This window comes from Homo sapiens, chromosome 2 (genome assembly GCF_000001405.40).
Source record: "Homo sapiens chromosome 2, GRCh38.p14 Primary Assembly".
In the NCBI taxonomy this organism is placed as follows: Eukaryota; Metazoa; Chordata; class Mammalia; order Primates; family Hominidae; genus Homo; species Homo sapiens.
The window spans coordinates 153408785-153423469 of NC_000002.12; the positions used below are offsets into that span (position 1 = coordinate 153408785).

Genomic DNA, 14685 nt, shown 5'->3' on the forward strand with positions numbered 1-14685 from the left:
ATTGGGTTGAAGGATGCAAAGTACTGTTCCTGGGTGTGTCTGTGAGGGTGTTGCCAAAGGAGCTTAACATTTGAGTCAGTGGACTCAGTGAGTCAGAGGCAGATGCAACCTTAATCTGGGTGGACACCATCCCCTTGGCTGCCAGTGCAGCTAGAAACAGCAGGCAGAAGAAGGTGGAGTGAGCAGACTTGCTGAGTCTTCTGGCCTTTATCTTTCTCCTGTGCTGGATGTTTCCTGCCCTCAAACACCAGACTCCAAGTTCTTCGGCTTTTAGGCTCTTGGACTTACACTAGTGGTTTACTAGGGGCCCTTGGGCTTTTGGCCACAGATTGAAGGCTGCATTGTCCATTGCCTGCTTCCCTACTTTTGAGGTGTTGGGACTCGGACTGAACCACTGCTGGCTTCCTTGCTTCTCAGCTTTCAGACAGCCTATCATGGGACGTCACCTTGTGATCATGTGAGTCAATTCTCCTTAATAAACTCCCTTTCATATATATATATATGAATATGTATGTATATATATATATGAATATGTATATATTCATATGTATATGTATATATTCATATGTATATGTATATATTCATATGTGTGTATATATATATATATCTCCTAGTAGTTCTGTCCCTCTAGAGAGCCCTGACTAATACAGATTTTGGTAGCCTGTATCGTAAAATATCTGGAAAAAGCTAACAGTCTGAAAGAAAAAGACTAATAAAGCAACCACAACAGAAGCAAAGAAAACACGAAAAGTAAAAGAGAATTTTTAAAAATTAGTAAATTTAGAGAAATTCAGGAAGACACTGTGTTCATAATCCCAAGAATCAGTGCCATGAAAATTAGGTAATCAGACAGCAAGAAGAATACAGAAAGCTACACACATAATTACTGAAATAAAATGTGAGAAAGGCTAAACTAAGAAATAAAAAGAACTGCGTAGTATTAATGATCAGAAAGAAAAAGTTAAGGAAATTTCCCAGGATATTGATGTAAAAAGAACAAAAATGCTAAAGTATAATTAAGAATAAAAATGGAAAAAGCAAATAATAAACATTTTCTTGAACTGAACACACACACACATTCAGATGTGAAGGTCATACAATGTGCCAAGAAAAATGCTCCAGACCTGGTTATATCTTGGTAAAAGTTGTGAACTTGAAGGAGAAAGAAAAAATATCTTAAGAGTTTCTAGGACAGAGTGAAAGATTATTTACAAAATTCAGAATCAAACCAGTGTCAGCCTTATATACAGATTAGAATACTAGGAAACAAAGTAGGGCAAAGTCTTCAAAGTCCTAAATGAAAATGCTTTGTTGTTGTTGAGACAGGGTGTCACTCTGTCACCTAGGCTGGGGTGCAGTGGCAATATCACAACTCACTGTAGTCTCTACCTCCTGGGCTCAAGTGATCCTCCCACCTCATCCCCCACCTAGTGGCTGGGACTACAGGCACTCACCACACTCAGCTATTTTTTTAGGGGGGGTGGGGTAGGGGGAGAGAAAGGAGTCTCACTATGTTGCCCAGACTTATCTAGAACTCCTGGGCTCAAGTGATCCTCCTGCCTGTGCTTCCCAAAATGCTGAGATTACAGGCATGAGCCACCACACCCAGCTGGAAATGCTTTTGAACCTAGAATTCTATACCATGTAATATTCAAAGTAAGAGTACAAGAGAGAGCTTTCAACAAGCAATGAGCTTTGAAAAATTTTGTTTTCCAAGCCCAAATCACTCATTTAATCATTTCAAACAATCAACAGACAATCATCAGAGAAGGGAGGAAAGAGAAAGACATAGGAAACAAAATATCTAAAGCCTGTAGTTCAATAACTAGATTAACTCATTTTTAGTGTGAAGGTAATTCTCTTGTTAAAAAAGTTTTTCTAAAGATGTAGAGATATAATGTAAAAAATGTAATAATAATCTCAATTAAAATTCTAGATAGCTTGAATAAAAAGAGTGGAGCAGGGAAATAGAGATAAAAATAAGCCATATATAGTGTATTGATTATATAGTGTTAGCACTAGAGATAGTCTGAATTCTAGAGTTTGAAAAATATTTACACACACACACACAAATATATAAATATATATTTAGAGAGAGAGAGAGAGAGAAAGGAGAGAGAGAGGAGAGAGAGTCCAGGCTGGAGTGCAATGTCATGATCACTGCAAACTCTGTCTAATCATCTCAAACCATCCTCTCACCTCCCTGAGTAGTTGGGACTGCAGGCACTCACCAACAGGCCCAGCTAATTTTTGTAGAGATGAAGTTTCGCCATGTTGCCCAGGCTGGTCTCAAACTCCTGAGCTCAAGCCATTTGCCCACTTCAGCCTCCCAAAGTGCTGGTATTACAAGCGTGAGCCACTGTACATGGCATATATGTATATATATATATATATATTTTTTTTTTTTCCTAAACTGAAGAGTAATACATTCAGTCATATAGTAAATTCATTCATTAATTCATCAAGTACTTATTGAATACCTGTTCCATGCCCAGCACTGGATTCAGTATAGGGGATCCGATAGGGAGATGTGGCCCTGCCCACAAAGAGTTTGGAATACATTTCAGTGAATTAGGAATCTGACATGGGAAGCTCAGGGTACTGTGGGACCACACAGGAATGGTACCTGACCCAGGCTTGATGAGAGATAGAAGAGGCAACTAATTTCTTTAGGAAATGACTCAGATAAAATCGGGAGTAGGCGGTGGGGGAAGATGTATGCATGAGAATGTATGCATGACACTGAAAGAGACCATGTGCTTTGAAAGAACTGAAACACTTCAGGTGGGTTGGAGTATAAAGTTCACTGGGGTAGTAGCATGAGATGAAACTGGAGGGGCAAGCAGGTGCTGGATCATGCTGGGCCGTCTGACTGATGCTGGAGCAATAGTAGTAGCCCTTGAAAGCTTCTTATGAAGGAAAGAAGGGTGGTGTGATACGTTTGCATATTAGAACATTAACTCAGGTTCTGCATAAGCATGGTAGAAATGCTTTTGCCTCTCCAAAACCAATAAAATTTTGCTATAAAGAATTCATCCAATTGTGATGGTTAATACTGAGTGTCAACTTGATTGGATTGAAAGATGCAAAGTATTGATCCTTGATGTGTCTGTGAGGGTGTTGCCAAAGGAGATTAACATTTGAGTCAGTGGGCTAGGAAAGGCAGACCTACCCTTAATCTGCTCGGCACCATCTAATCAGCTGCCAGAAAATATAAAGCAGGCAGGAAAAATTGAAAAGGTGAGGCTGGCCTAGCCTCCCAGCCTACATCTTTCTCGTGTGCTGGATGGTTTCTGCCCTGGAACATCCAACGGTCTCCAAGTTCTTCAGTTTTGAGACTCAGACTGGCTCTTCTTGCTCCTCAAGCTTGCAGACAGCCTATTGTGAGACCTATATCTATCTATATTTATCCTATTATTTCTGTCCCTCTAGGGAACCCTGTTTAATACACCAGTGTAGCCTGGGTTTGAAAAAAAAGCTTGGGTTTTTTAATTTGGGGTTCAAATCTCACCTCCGTCACTTACTAGCTGTGTGATTCAAATATGTCAGTTAGCCTCTTTGAGGCTCAGTTTCTGTCTTGTTAAAAGAAAAACATGAAAACACTTTTATCTTCTCTTCAGGGCTTTTGTGGCATCATAAGTGAGAATTTCATATGCTGACTGTATGTGGACTGTTTTGTTCCAAGAAGCAGCAGCTCATCTCAAAATAGATGAAGTCAAAGAGAGGGAATTGTAAGAGTGCACTGGCATGTCTCTCAGAAGCCAGTGGCAAGACCGAAGCTTGGTCTCAGGAACAACTGAATCAGGAATTTGAAAACTGTCAAGATCCTGTTTCTCTCCTCTACACATTGGCTTTCTTCTTATTCCCTAAGGACTGAGTGTTTGTTTTTTGGCCATCCAAAAGCTTGGGGCTGTCATTTCTTTTGTTCAAAGAACACCCAGGCTGAATTGTAATTTCTTGGTTTCATTTCCAAATTTCTAGGGAGAGACTCTTCTTTGCTCTCTGGTGTTTGTTCTGCACCCAATTAACTGTGGCAGTGGGTGAGTGTTTGCACTCAGATGGGTTGGAGATATTTCTCAGGAGAGCAATACTTTCTCAAAAGGAGACATAACAGTCAGGGCCTAAGCAGAAATCACATGGCCCACACAAATTAGGATAATTTAAGAATGATTCTATAGAAAATGACTAATTATAAAAATGTAGGTAAATTATAGGAAGACCATGAGGTATTATACACAAACCTAGGGCTAGCAGCATCTATAGACAGTTAAGGATGAGGTGAGGGAGAATTTACCAGAGCCCAAAAGGGGAGAGTTGGAAAGATCAGGCTGTCTTGAGAGGAGTAGTGACCTTCTGTTTAAGGACACAGGCAGCCCAAGGGAGGGATCTGGGAAATATACATCCTGACCCTATACTTTGCTTCCCGTATCCTATCTGACCTCTCCATTGGCCAAAACTCCCCAAGGGCACAGGATTGTATCGATACTATCTATACAGGTCAGCTTCCTTGGGTAGACTGTGGAGTGGAGATGGTGGAGAGTGCACTGGGGTATAAGCAAAGGTAAGTGGACACTTACTACTGGGTCTGTCCTGCAGCTCCCTGAGCAAAACACCCTTGCCTTGTACCCCAGTGCACTCATACAACTCTCCACCATGGAGAAGCTGTATGTTTGTCCTTAAGCGGCATACAACTACATCCATATCCATATCCATATTTCCTATTTAGCATTGACTAATTTCATCCATTGATTTCCAGACAATAAATTCCTTTTTTGTTGTTTTTAGGAATGACTGATGTAGGTTTCAGTTATATAACTGCCGTTGTTCTATTGAGTCCATGTAAAATAGATCCTAATTCTTTCAGATCCCTAGTATTCAAAATATCAATGGATAGACTTGTTGAAAAATTGGGTAAGCAAGATTTGTCTTTAAAGACAAGTACATTAAGACAAATGTTTGTAGAAAAAGGTCATTTTTCTGGGCAATTTTATTATATTTGGCTAACATAACTTATATGTAAGTGCTTAGTATTGTATTCAGAGTCTCAGTATAGACATTTTTTAGAATCCCAATCTCTCATAGTTTAGCATCTAAGCGTTACCCACAATTGATTCAGAATGTATAAAAGTATAAACTTTATTATATATGTGGAAAATCTCTGTACATCCTATGACTATTCTAAAAGTAATGAATTTGTAAGGGAGAATGGAAGAAAAAATGCCAGAAAACTTTAAAGTGATTTATCTTTCGGAATAAGCTTTATGAGAAATTTTAAACAACCTTATTTCTTTGTTTTATTTAAAAATGATGGCCGGGCTCAGTGGCTCACACTTATAATCCCAGCACTTTGGGAGTCTGAGGCGGGCAGATCACGAGGTCAGGAGTTCAAGACCAGCCTGACCAACATGGTGAAACCCCGTCTCTACTAAAAAATACAAAAACTAGCTGGAAGTAGTGGCGTGCATCTGTAATCCCAGCTATTCAGGAGGCTGAGGCAGGAGAATTGCTTGAAGCTGGGAGGTGGAGGTTGCGGTGAGCCAAGATCATGCCATTGCACTCCAGCCTGGGTGACAGAGGGAGACTCTGTCACAAAAATAAAAATAAAAAAAAAATAAAATAAAAAGTTACAGTGTCCTTTTAAATTAGATTTGATGAAATGGTGAGCATCTGCGTTAGAAACACAGGATAAAAAGATTTTTTTTTTTTTTTTTGGTAATTGATCTATACCACTGCCACAAAACTGAAAGGTGAAGTCATGACAAGAACCACTAAATGAAATGCATACACGTCATTCAAAATGAAAACTATCATTAGCTAATGGTCCTAGGACCTGATCTGTATACAAAGGAATGGAATCATATATGCAAAGGTACTAAAATGAGACTTTAACAAGTAAGAGATTAAAATCTTACAATCTAATCACTAGGTTTTACAGCTTAAAAAAATACTCTTATCAGTTTTTCCACTTTACCCTAGGAGTCCTTCTTAACTCTGAAAATATACTCCTATTCTCAAATTTTGTCTCTGTTTGTACCATTGAAAGGTTACAATGTGGTGTTTTCCTCAGACCAACTGTTTATATTTACAAATAAAAGTCTATTTTAAAAATGTTTCAGACCAGTCAGGGAGCAGAACTCTGGTAAGAAGAGTATTCTACTTGGGAACAAGGAGGGAGTTTTAAGGACATCATCTACTATAATTGCTTTGCTCTCCCAGGTAGTAGGAATTACAGAATTTTATAAAAATCACTGGCATGGTATTACTTATTATTTAGTCTTGGTTTCTTAATATGTCAATTTGGCCTTCCCATAAGAGTAGCTACATGTTAAAAAAAAGGAAAAGACTAAGATCCAGAAGACGTCAGAAAGACTGCTGGCTTTTTAATATCTTCCAGGTGCTACAAAAGCCACATATAGTCTTGTATGTTGACATGGGCCCTGCAAGGCCAGGGCAGAAGAGTATGACTCCACCATGTAAAGGATGCCAATTGGTGGAGCCATGGTAGCTGGATTTGGGAGGCTGACTAGTTCACAACCTCTGATAAACTGTCATCCAAGCCTGAACCACGGTCACATAGGAGAGCCAGGAGTAAATGCATTTTAGGTGGCATAACTCCTTGTGTTGCAGCAAAGAAAGCAATTATGAAAATGGTCCTGCATTCATTGGAATGAAACCTTTGATTCTGAAGGTTACTCATGGACTACTGTGTTAAATCTTACTTGATACCATTTAAGTCTGTATAAAAGTATGAGTACATGGTCAGTTTTATCATGTAAACCAAATATAATGCATTTATAAAATTAAAACTGAATTTGCAAATTTTTGAACAACACACAATGATATGAAACAATGTTCACCATATGAAATTGAATTACAAAAGCAAGAAGTGAAATAATATAGAGTGTAAGATCTCAGTTTTGCTAAAATGGACTTTAAAATTTACTGTAAACTAAATACACAAAAATAGAAACCTTTCTGTGCTGATAACTGTTTCTGCTGTGAGAATAGGGAAAACTTTCTCTATTTTTCTTATGTTTCTCTGTCTATTGTCAATCTAAGCTAGTTTTAAAATGAACAGAAGTTATTTCTATAATCAGAAAAGAATTAAGTAAATGTTGTTTACAAGATGAAGTGAAAAGAAAAAAGTTCTGCCATAGCAGCAGACACAACCCATTTAAAAGTGTTTAATCATTCTAGGTAATTGTTTAAAGAAAGTTGCCTATAAATAAACAAGCCTACCACTAAATCTACTGAAATTAGGCCCTGTGTTAGAGTAAGCATATGAATGTTGTTGGTAATTACAGTGGCACAAAAGCAGTCCTCTGGTTTTGTGGTTTATGATTCATAATCATTTATTTTTTTATTCAATATTAAGAAATACTCTGAAAGTTACTATTGTCTTAAGAAAAAGAAAATGTACTTGTGTAGTCTTTGAAAAAGGCAATGTCCAAAGCCATGTGACTGCTTCTGTTTTATGAGAGAAACCCACAGTGTCTCATAGGTCTCTTCCAGACACACTGGAATGGTGCCAATGTAAGAATATTAACAAAGAACAAGCACTGAGCCAAATAATTTAATTATCATTTGTTGACTTCGTCCATCTAAACTACATGAATCTTTATCCCAATGACACAAAGGCATCATTTCACTAAAGCTGATGAATAACTGCTTACATATTTTCCCACTGAATACTTAAATTTTGTCTTGTTCATTTGCATGGTTTTTATAGTTTTGGTTTGTTCTTGCTGTTTTGTATGTTAAAGGCATTCAACTTTTGTCTATCAAAGTTGTGGCAAATATTTTCCTAGACTGCTGATTACCATTCTGTTTATGGTATTTTTTGTAAAATACAGAAGTTAGTTTTTTAGAGGGTTATATCTATTGGTGTTTTTCTTTGTGAATTCTGCTGATTGTATTAGTTGATTCAACAAATATTTATTACATACTATGTGCCAGATACTCCTCTATGTGATATGATACAACAGTGATCCAAAACACCGAATACTCTTGCCCTCATGGAGCTTGCACTCTTACAGAAGGAGACAGACAATTAACAATTAAAATACATCCAACTTTTGTAGCACCTGAATCCTGAATCAGTTGTGGGCTGTCTTTAAGAAAAAGAATACAGGACCTTAGAAAGGGACCATGGAAGTGAAGGGCTTCTGAGCATATCGCATGGGAATGAGTGATATGGAGACAAATAAAGTGGAGGAGAAAGATAGGAAGTGCTAGGTCAGAAGTAGGGATCACAAATTTTTCAGAGAAGCCTCACTGAGAATGTCAAATTTGAACAAAGACCAAGAGGAGGGACAGAAGCACACAAAGAGGATATCTGGGGAAAAGCATGGTAGGAGAAGAAAAGAGACAGTGCTAAATCCCTACAGGGAGAGAATGCCAATAATGTTCCAGGAATGAAAAGGAGGTGGGTAGGGCTGAAACAGAGAAAGCCAGAGAAAAATAATAGAAGATGAGTCATAGAGGTACCAAATGAAATTATGGGAGACGGGGAGCAGATGATGTAGGGCCTTGCAGGCCCAGTCAATTTTCTTGGTTTTCTCTCTCTCAGAGTGAGAGGAGGTCACTAGAGGTGAAATGATTTAACTTATGCTTTCACTTAGATTGATAGGTTAAGAATAAACAGTAGGGAGAAAGAATGCAAATAGAGAGATGGATAAGGAGGATATTGCCATAATCCAGGCGAGAGATCATGGTGGCTTGGATGAGTCTGCCTGGGGAATGTGAGGAAATATAATTTGTTTTTGAATATGTCTTGAAGATGGAACTATCAGGATTTTCTGGTAAAATGGATGTAGATTGTAAAAAAGGAGAGTCTATGGGTGTTGTTCTAAGTAAATATGGAACTTTAAGTTTATTGAAATGAGAAATTCTTTTAGAGAATAAGCTTTTCGGATACAAGACAAATGAGAAGTTCCACTTGGAGTATATTAAATTTGAGATGTCCATTGGATATACGAAGTAAGATTGTCACACATGCAGTTGGAGCTCAGTAGAAAAGTCCAGGATGAATATATACCTTTAAACATCATCAGCATATACTTGGAACTTAAAAGCCATAATATCAGATATGAGTCATATAAATCACTGTAACAGTTAACACGAGGAATAAGCATAGAAATGGGAAGAAACAATCAGAAGATTGAGTCCTTGAAGGATGCCAATGTTTAGGTTAGAAAGATGTGGGAGAACCAGCAAGAGAGAATGTGGTAGGCAGCAAAATGGCCTTCCAAAGATGCTCACATCCCAGCCTTTCAAAACCTGTTAATATATTTTGGAGAGATTGTCCTGGAGTATCCAGGTGGACCCAATGTAATCAGAATACTGCTCATAAGAGGGAGGCAGGAGGATCAGAACCAAAGACAGAGATGTGATGACAGAAGCAGAGGTCAGTGAGGTAATATGATTGCTAGAAGGGAGGCACAAGCCAAGGAATTCAAGTAGCCTCTAGAAGCTGCAAAAGACAAGGAAACAAATTCCCCCCTAGCACCTCCAGAAGGTTTGCCACCGTGATATTAGCTCAGTGAAACTCCTTTTGCAGTTTTGACCTCCAGAACTGTAAGATAAATTTGTGTTGCTTTAAACCACTAAGTTTGTTGTAATTTGCCAAGAGAGGGATAGGAAGTAAATGCAGAGACTGAGAAAGGAGTAGTTAGTGAAGTAAACAGATAGATAAGAGAGTGTCATGTCACAGGGGCCAAATGAGGAAGTGTTTCAAGAAGGAAGTAGAATAATGGTCATTTGATAAACTATGTCAAATGCTGCTTATAGGTCAAGTAAGATAAAGCCTGAGAAATGAACATTGTTTTTAGCAACATGGAGGTCACGGATGACCTTGACAGGAGAAGATTTGGTAGATGGACTATAGAGAAAGCCAAATCAGAATTGGCTTCGAGAGAGTGGAGGGTAGCCGGGCATGGTGGTGCATGCCTGTAGTCCCAGCTACTCAGGGGGCTGAGGTGGGAGGATGGCTTGACCCCGGGAGGCAGAGGTTACAGTGTGCCAAGATCACACCACTGCACTTCAGCCTGGGCGATAGAGCCAGACCTTGTCTGAAAAGGTAAATAAATAAATAAGGTAAAATAAGGGAGAGTGGAAGGAAGGAACTGGAGAAAGAATTGCTGTGGAGTAGTGACTGCTATGTGCTTCCTGTTTTTCCCGTTTTTGAATGAGAGTCTCTTATCTCCATACCATAGATTAAAAAGAAACAACTATTAATTCATACAATGACTTGGATGGTGTATTAGTCCATTCTTACATTGCTATGAAGAAATACCCGAGACTGGGTAATTTTTGAAGGAAAGAGGTTTAATTGACTCACAGTTCCTCAGGGCTGGGGAGGCCTCAGGAAACTTACAATCATGGTGGAAGAGAAAGCAAACATATCCTTCTTCACATGGTGGCAGCAACAAGTGCCGAGCAAAAGGGGCTTATAAAACCATTAGATCTTGTGAGAACTCAATCAGTATCATGAGAACAGATGAGGGAAACTGTCCATGATTCAATTATCTCCACCTGGTCTGTCCCATGACACGTGGGGATTATGGGAACTTCAAAATGAGATTTGGGTGAGGACACAGCCAGGCCATATCAGATGTTCTCAAAGGATTTATACTGACTGAAAAAGGCCAGTCTCAAAAATCATATATCCTCCGTGATTCCACTTATTTAACATTCAAAAAATGGCAAAATGATAGAGACAAACAAGAGGTGAATGTTTTTTAGGGATTAGGGAGGGAAGTAGACAAGGAAAGGGTGTGAACAATGAAAGGAGTCCTTGTGATGGAACTGTTTTGTATTGACTATTGTTATAGTTACACAAATTTACATGTGATAAAGCTTCATGGACCTAAATACATGCACACACACATACACACACTACATGAATGCATGTAAAACTAGTGTAAATGGAATTAAGGTCAACAGTTTATATCATTGTCAATTTCTGGTTGTAATATTTACTTTAGTTATGCTATCACTGGGGGAAACTAAGTGAAAATTAGTTTCACGTGAATATACAATTATCTCAAAAAGTTAAAAAGAATGGTAGAAATACACCTAAAGTAAATTGACTAAATTTGCAAGTTAAATGGCAAGACTTCTCAAAGTGGATTTTAAAAAAGTAGTCCATCTATATATAGTTTACAACAGACCTACCTAAAACATAAAGACACAAAATTATGAATGTGAAGAAATGGAAAATTATATTTGAGGTAAATATAAGCAAAGAAAGATGATGTTACTTCTTATAATAATGTTTAAGAAATATATTTTGAAGCCAAAGCATTATTGGGAAAAAAGGTTACAGAAAAATAATAAAAGGAGCAATTCACCAGTCTGCATATACATTTAGTACATATAAGGACTGTAAAGAACAGGTATACAGGACATTATGAACGTTTTTAATGCCACTGGACCTTATGCTTAAAAATGGTTAAGATGGTAATTTTATGTTATATGTATTTTTACCACAATAAAAAGAGAAATTGTAAGGTTGATAGATTAGAAATCTGTACTCAAGAATTAAAGCATTTTCATTTTTTAAACATGTATGACACTATTAAGAAATAACATATTTTGGCATAAAATGAGTCATACAGATCATGCTTCTGCTGATAATTCAAAAAAATTTAAAAGGAAAAAATATAGCAAATATGATCTCCATGTATATGGAAATTTTATTTTATTTTATTTACTTCAAGCCTTTAATTTGAGACATGATGGAAAAATCTTGTAGGCACACTTGGAAAAGTCATGATTACCGCTGAGTGAAAACAATCTAACTGGAAAGATTTAATGCCTGTCAGCTAATGTCAAAGCTGAAATTCTGGAAGTATGACATGCTGCAGGGCTGAAAGGAATGGAAAATTAGTGTTCCCCTTCTTTTTCTTCAACAGAATCCACACCAACCTCCTCATAATCTTTTTCAAGGGCAGCCATGTCCTCACAGGCCTCAGAAAATGCTTCTTCTCCCATCTCCTCACCCATTTCCCAGTGAACAAAGGAACAGTTGGCATAACTCAAGTCAGACTTGTGGCCCAGGCAAACCCAGGCCTCAGCAATGGCTATGGTGTTGCTCAGCATGCACGCAGCTCTCTTTATGTTGGCCAGATTTCCAGCAGGTACCACAGTGGGAAGCTGGCAATTAATGCCAACTTTGAGGCTAGTGAAACACCAATCCACAAACTGGATGGTGCATTTGGTCTTGTTAGTGGAATAGCAGTAAGTATTGACATATTTGGGAACCACATTACCACGGTGTAATAGGCAGTAAGCCATGTATTTACCATAGTGAGAGTCACATTTCACCATCTGGTTGCCTGGCTCAAAGTGAGCACTGGTGACCTCTGCTATGCATGGTAGTCTTACCCAGCAGAGATGACAGGGCATATGTGACCAAAGAGAAGAGGATGCAGGAAGAGGGTACCAGGTCGGTCTGGAATTCTGTCAGACTCCATGAAATCTGAGAGAAGCAGTGATGGAGAACACAATCTGGCTAAGAAAGCAGTTAAAGATTAGGGTAGTTTGGGTGCTCAGTATTGGGGTTTCTACAACAGATGCCATAGATGGCCTCATTGTCTACTATGAAGGCACAATCAAAGTGCTGCAAGGTGGTACTGGTGGTGGAATGGAGTTGTAGAGCTCAACCGCAGCTGTGGAAACCTGCAGGGCTAGGTAAATGGAGAACTTCAGTTTAGACTTTGTGGCATAATCAACAGAGAAGTGAACCCAGAACCAGTTTCTCCACCAAAGCTGTGGAAAACCGAGAAGCCCTGAAGACCTGTGCACTGGTGAACCAGCTTGCGAATTTGGTCCAAAGGCCAATGATCTTGCCAATGTCGTGATGCCCCCAGGCATAGTTATGGGCAGCGTCTTCCTTGTCTGTGATGAGCTGCTCAGGGTGGAAGAGCTGGTGGTAGGTGCCAGTGCAAACTTCATCAGTGACTATGGGTTCCAGGTTTATAAACACTGCCCTGGACACAAACTTGCCTGCTCACTGAAGAGGCGTAGAATCAATTATCTCCTTACCCAGTGGTCTTGTCACTTGGCATTGGGCTATCGTGCTGGATGCTTTGTTCCAGGTAGTAGAGCTCCCGGCAGCATTGCCAATCCAGACATCAGCCTCGCCAAGGTGGATGAAGATGCACTCACACGTAGTGGCTACAGGTTAGAAAAGCAAAAGTCAGAAGATACTGGGTCTCTGTTACCATCCCTGACATGTTAAGAGTCAAATAGGCAACACATTGTATTTGGAAATTGTTTTTTAAAAAAAAAGGCATAAATAGCTCATGAAACACTTTAAGAAGAAATGATAATGGAAATTCGAAAATATTTCTATCTGAATGATAATGCAAATGCTGTAAATCAAAATGTGTGGGATTTGGCTAAAACCACAATTAAAAGGCAAAAGCCTTAATTGCGTATATTAGGAAAGAAGAAAAACTAAAAATCAGCACAACTTCCAGTTTACACAGGCAGAAAAAGAATAATGAAGTCATCCAAAGAAAGTAGAAAGAAGGAAAAACGTAAAGATGAGAATAGAAGATTTTTAAATGGAAAATAACCAATAGCTATCCCATCAGGGGCTGGAGGGAAGAGGAAATGGAGACATCAGTTCAAGGGGTACATGGTTTATTTACAAAAGATGAGTAACTTCTAGAGGACTGCTGTACAATTGTACTTAACAATACTGCATTGTCCACTTAAAAATTTGTCATGAGAGTAAATCTTAGGCTAAGTGCTCTTATCACAATAAAAAAATACAGAAACAGTAGAGTAAAAAGTGCTCAAAGTTAATTCTTTTAAATAAACTAATACAATAGACAAATCACTGGCAGATTAATAAGAGAGAGAGGCTTTAATGAAAACTAGACCACACAATCATAAAATAACATTTTGCCAATTATTTTGAAAATATATTTTTTAAGAAAAAAATACACTTTACAGAATAGATTCAAGAATAAATAAAAGTCTGAGTAATCCTATTAAAATAAATGAAATTAAATCAGTAGTCAACAATTTAAGCATTGGTGGAAAACACAACGACAAAAACGACAATAACAGCAAAACCAACAATGACTGAAACAAGAAAAAAACATGTATTTTAAATATATTTACAAGATAATTTCAATAAACAAGGGTTTGATAGTATCTATTTTATTCACACTGTTCTAAAGTAAAAGAAAAAGTAAGACAGCTCCTCAACAATTTTATATTTTGGTAAACTATACTTTGATAAAATCTGTCAGGGATGTTAGTGAAAAAATTTCAGATCATTATCTTTTATAAAAATTGATATAAAAATAATAGCTTAAATATTACCAAATATAACAAAGAAAAACATGCACATTTAAATCATGACAAAGAATGATGAATTTTTTTCTTAAGAATGCAAGCATAACAATGTTAAAACGTGATAAATTAACATGTAATTTATCACTAAGAAATTAACAATTTTTAAAACATATGATTATTTCAATACATGCAGGAAAATCATTCAATAAACTCAGGACTCCTTTATAATATAAACTCTTAACAAATAGGAGTAAGGGACCCTATTTAATATGAAAAAAAGTTAGCTACCAAATATTACTTTAACCAAGATACTTTGTAATAAAATGTTAAAAACATGCCTTTAAATCGAGAACAAGGCCTCAATGCCTTCTT

The 14685-nt window shown here is 37.7% G+C and overlaps 1 protein-coding gene and 1 pseudogene across 3 annotated transcripts in view; one reads left to right on the forward strand and one right to left on the reverse strand.

The window, feature by feature from the left end:
• The window catches only part of GALNT13 (polypeptide N-acetylgalactosaminyltransferase 13), a 1388282-nt gene that overhangs the window by 340492 nt on the left and 1033105 nt on the right, over positions 1–14685 (forward strand). The window contains exon 1 of one of the 3 annotated variants that reach the window (NM_001422881.1): positions 95–457. The exons of the other annotated variants lie outside the window; for them this stretch is intronic. The gene's annotated coding sequence lies outside the window, so the exon portion shown is untranslated. Of the gene's footprint in view, positions 1–94; positions 458–14685 lie in introns of those variants that run through there. 3 annotated transcript variants of the gene reach the window in all.
• Positions 11893–13129, reverse strand: TUBAP13 (tubulin alpha pseudogene 13; annotated as a pseudogene).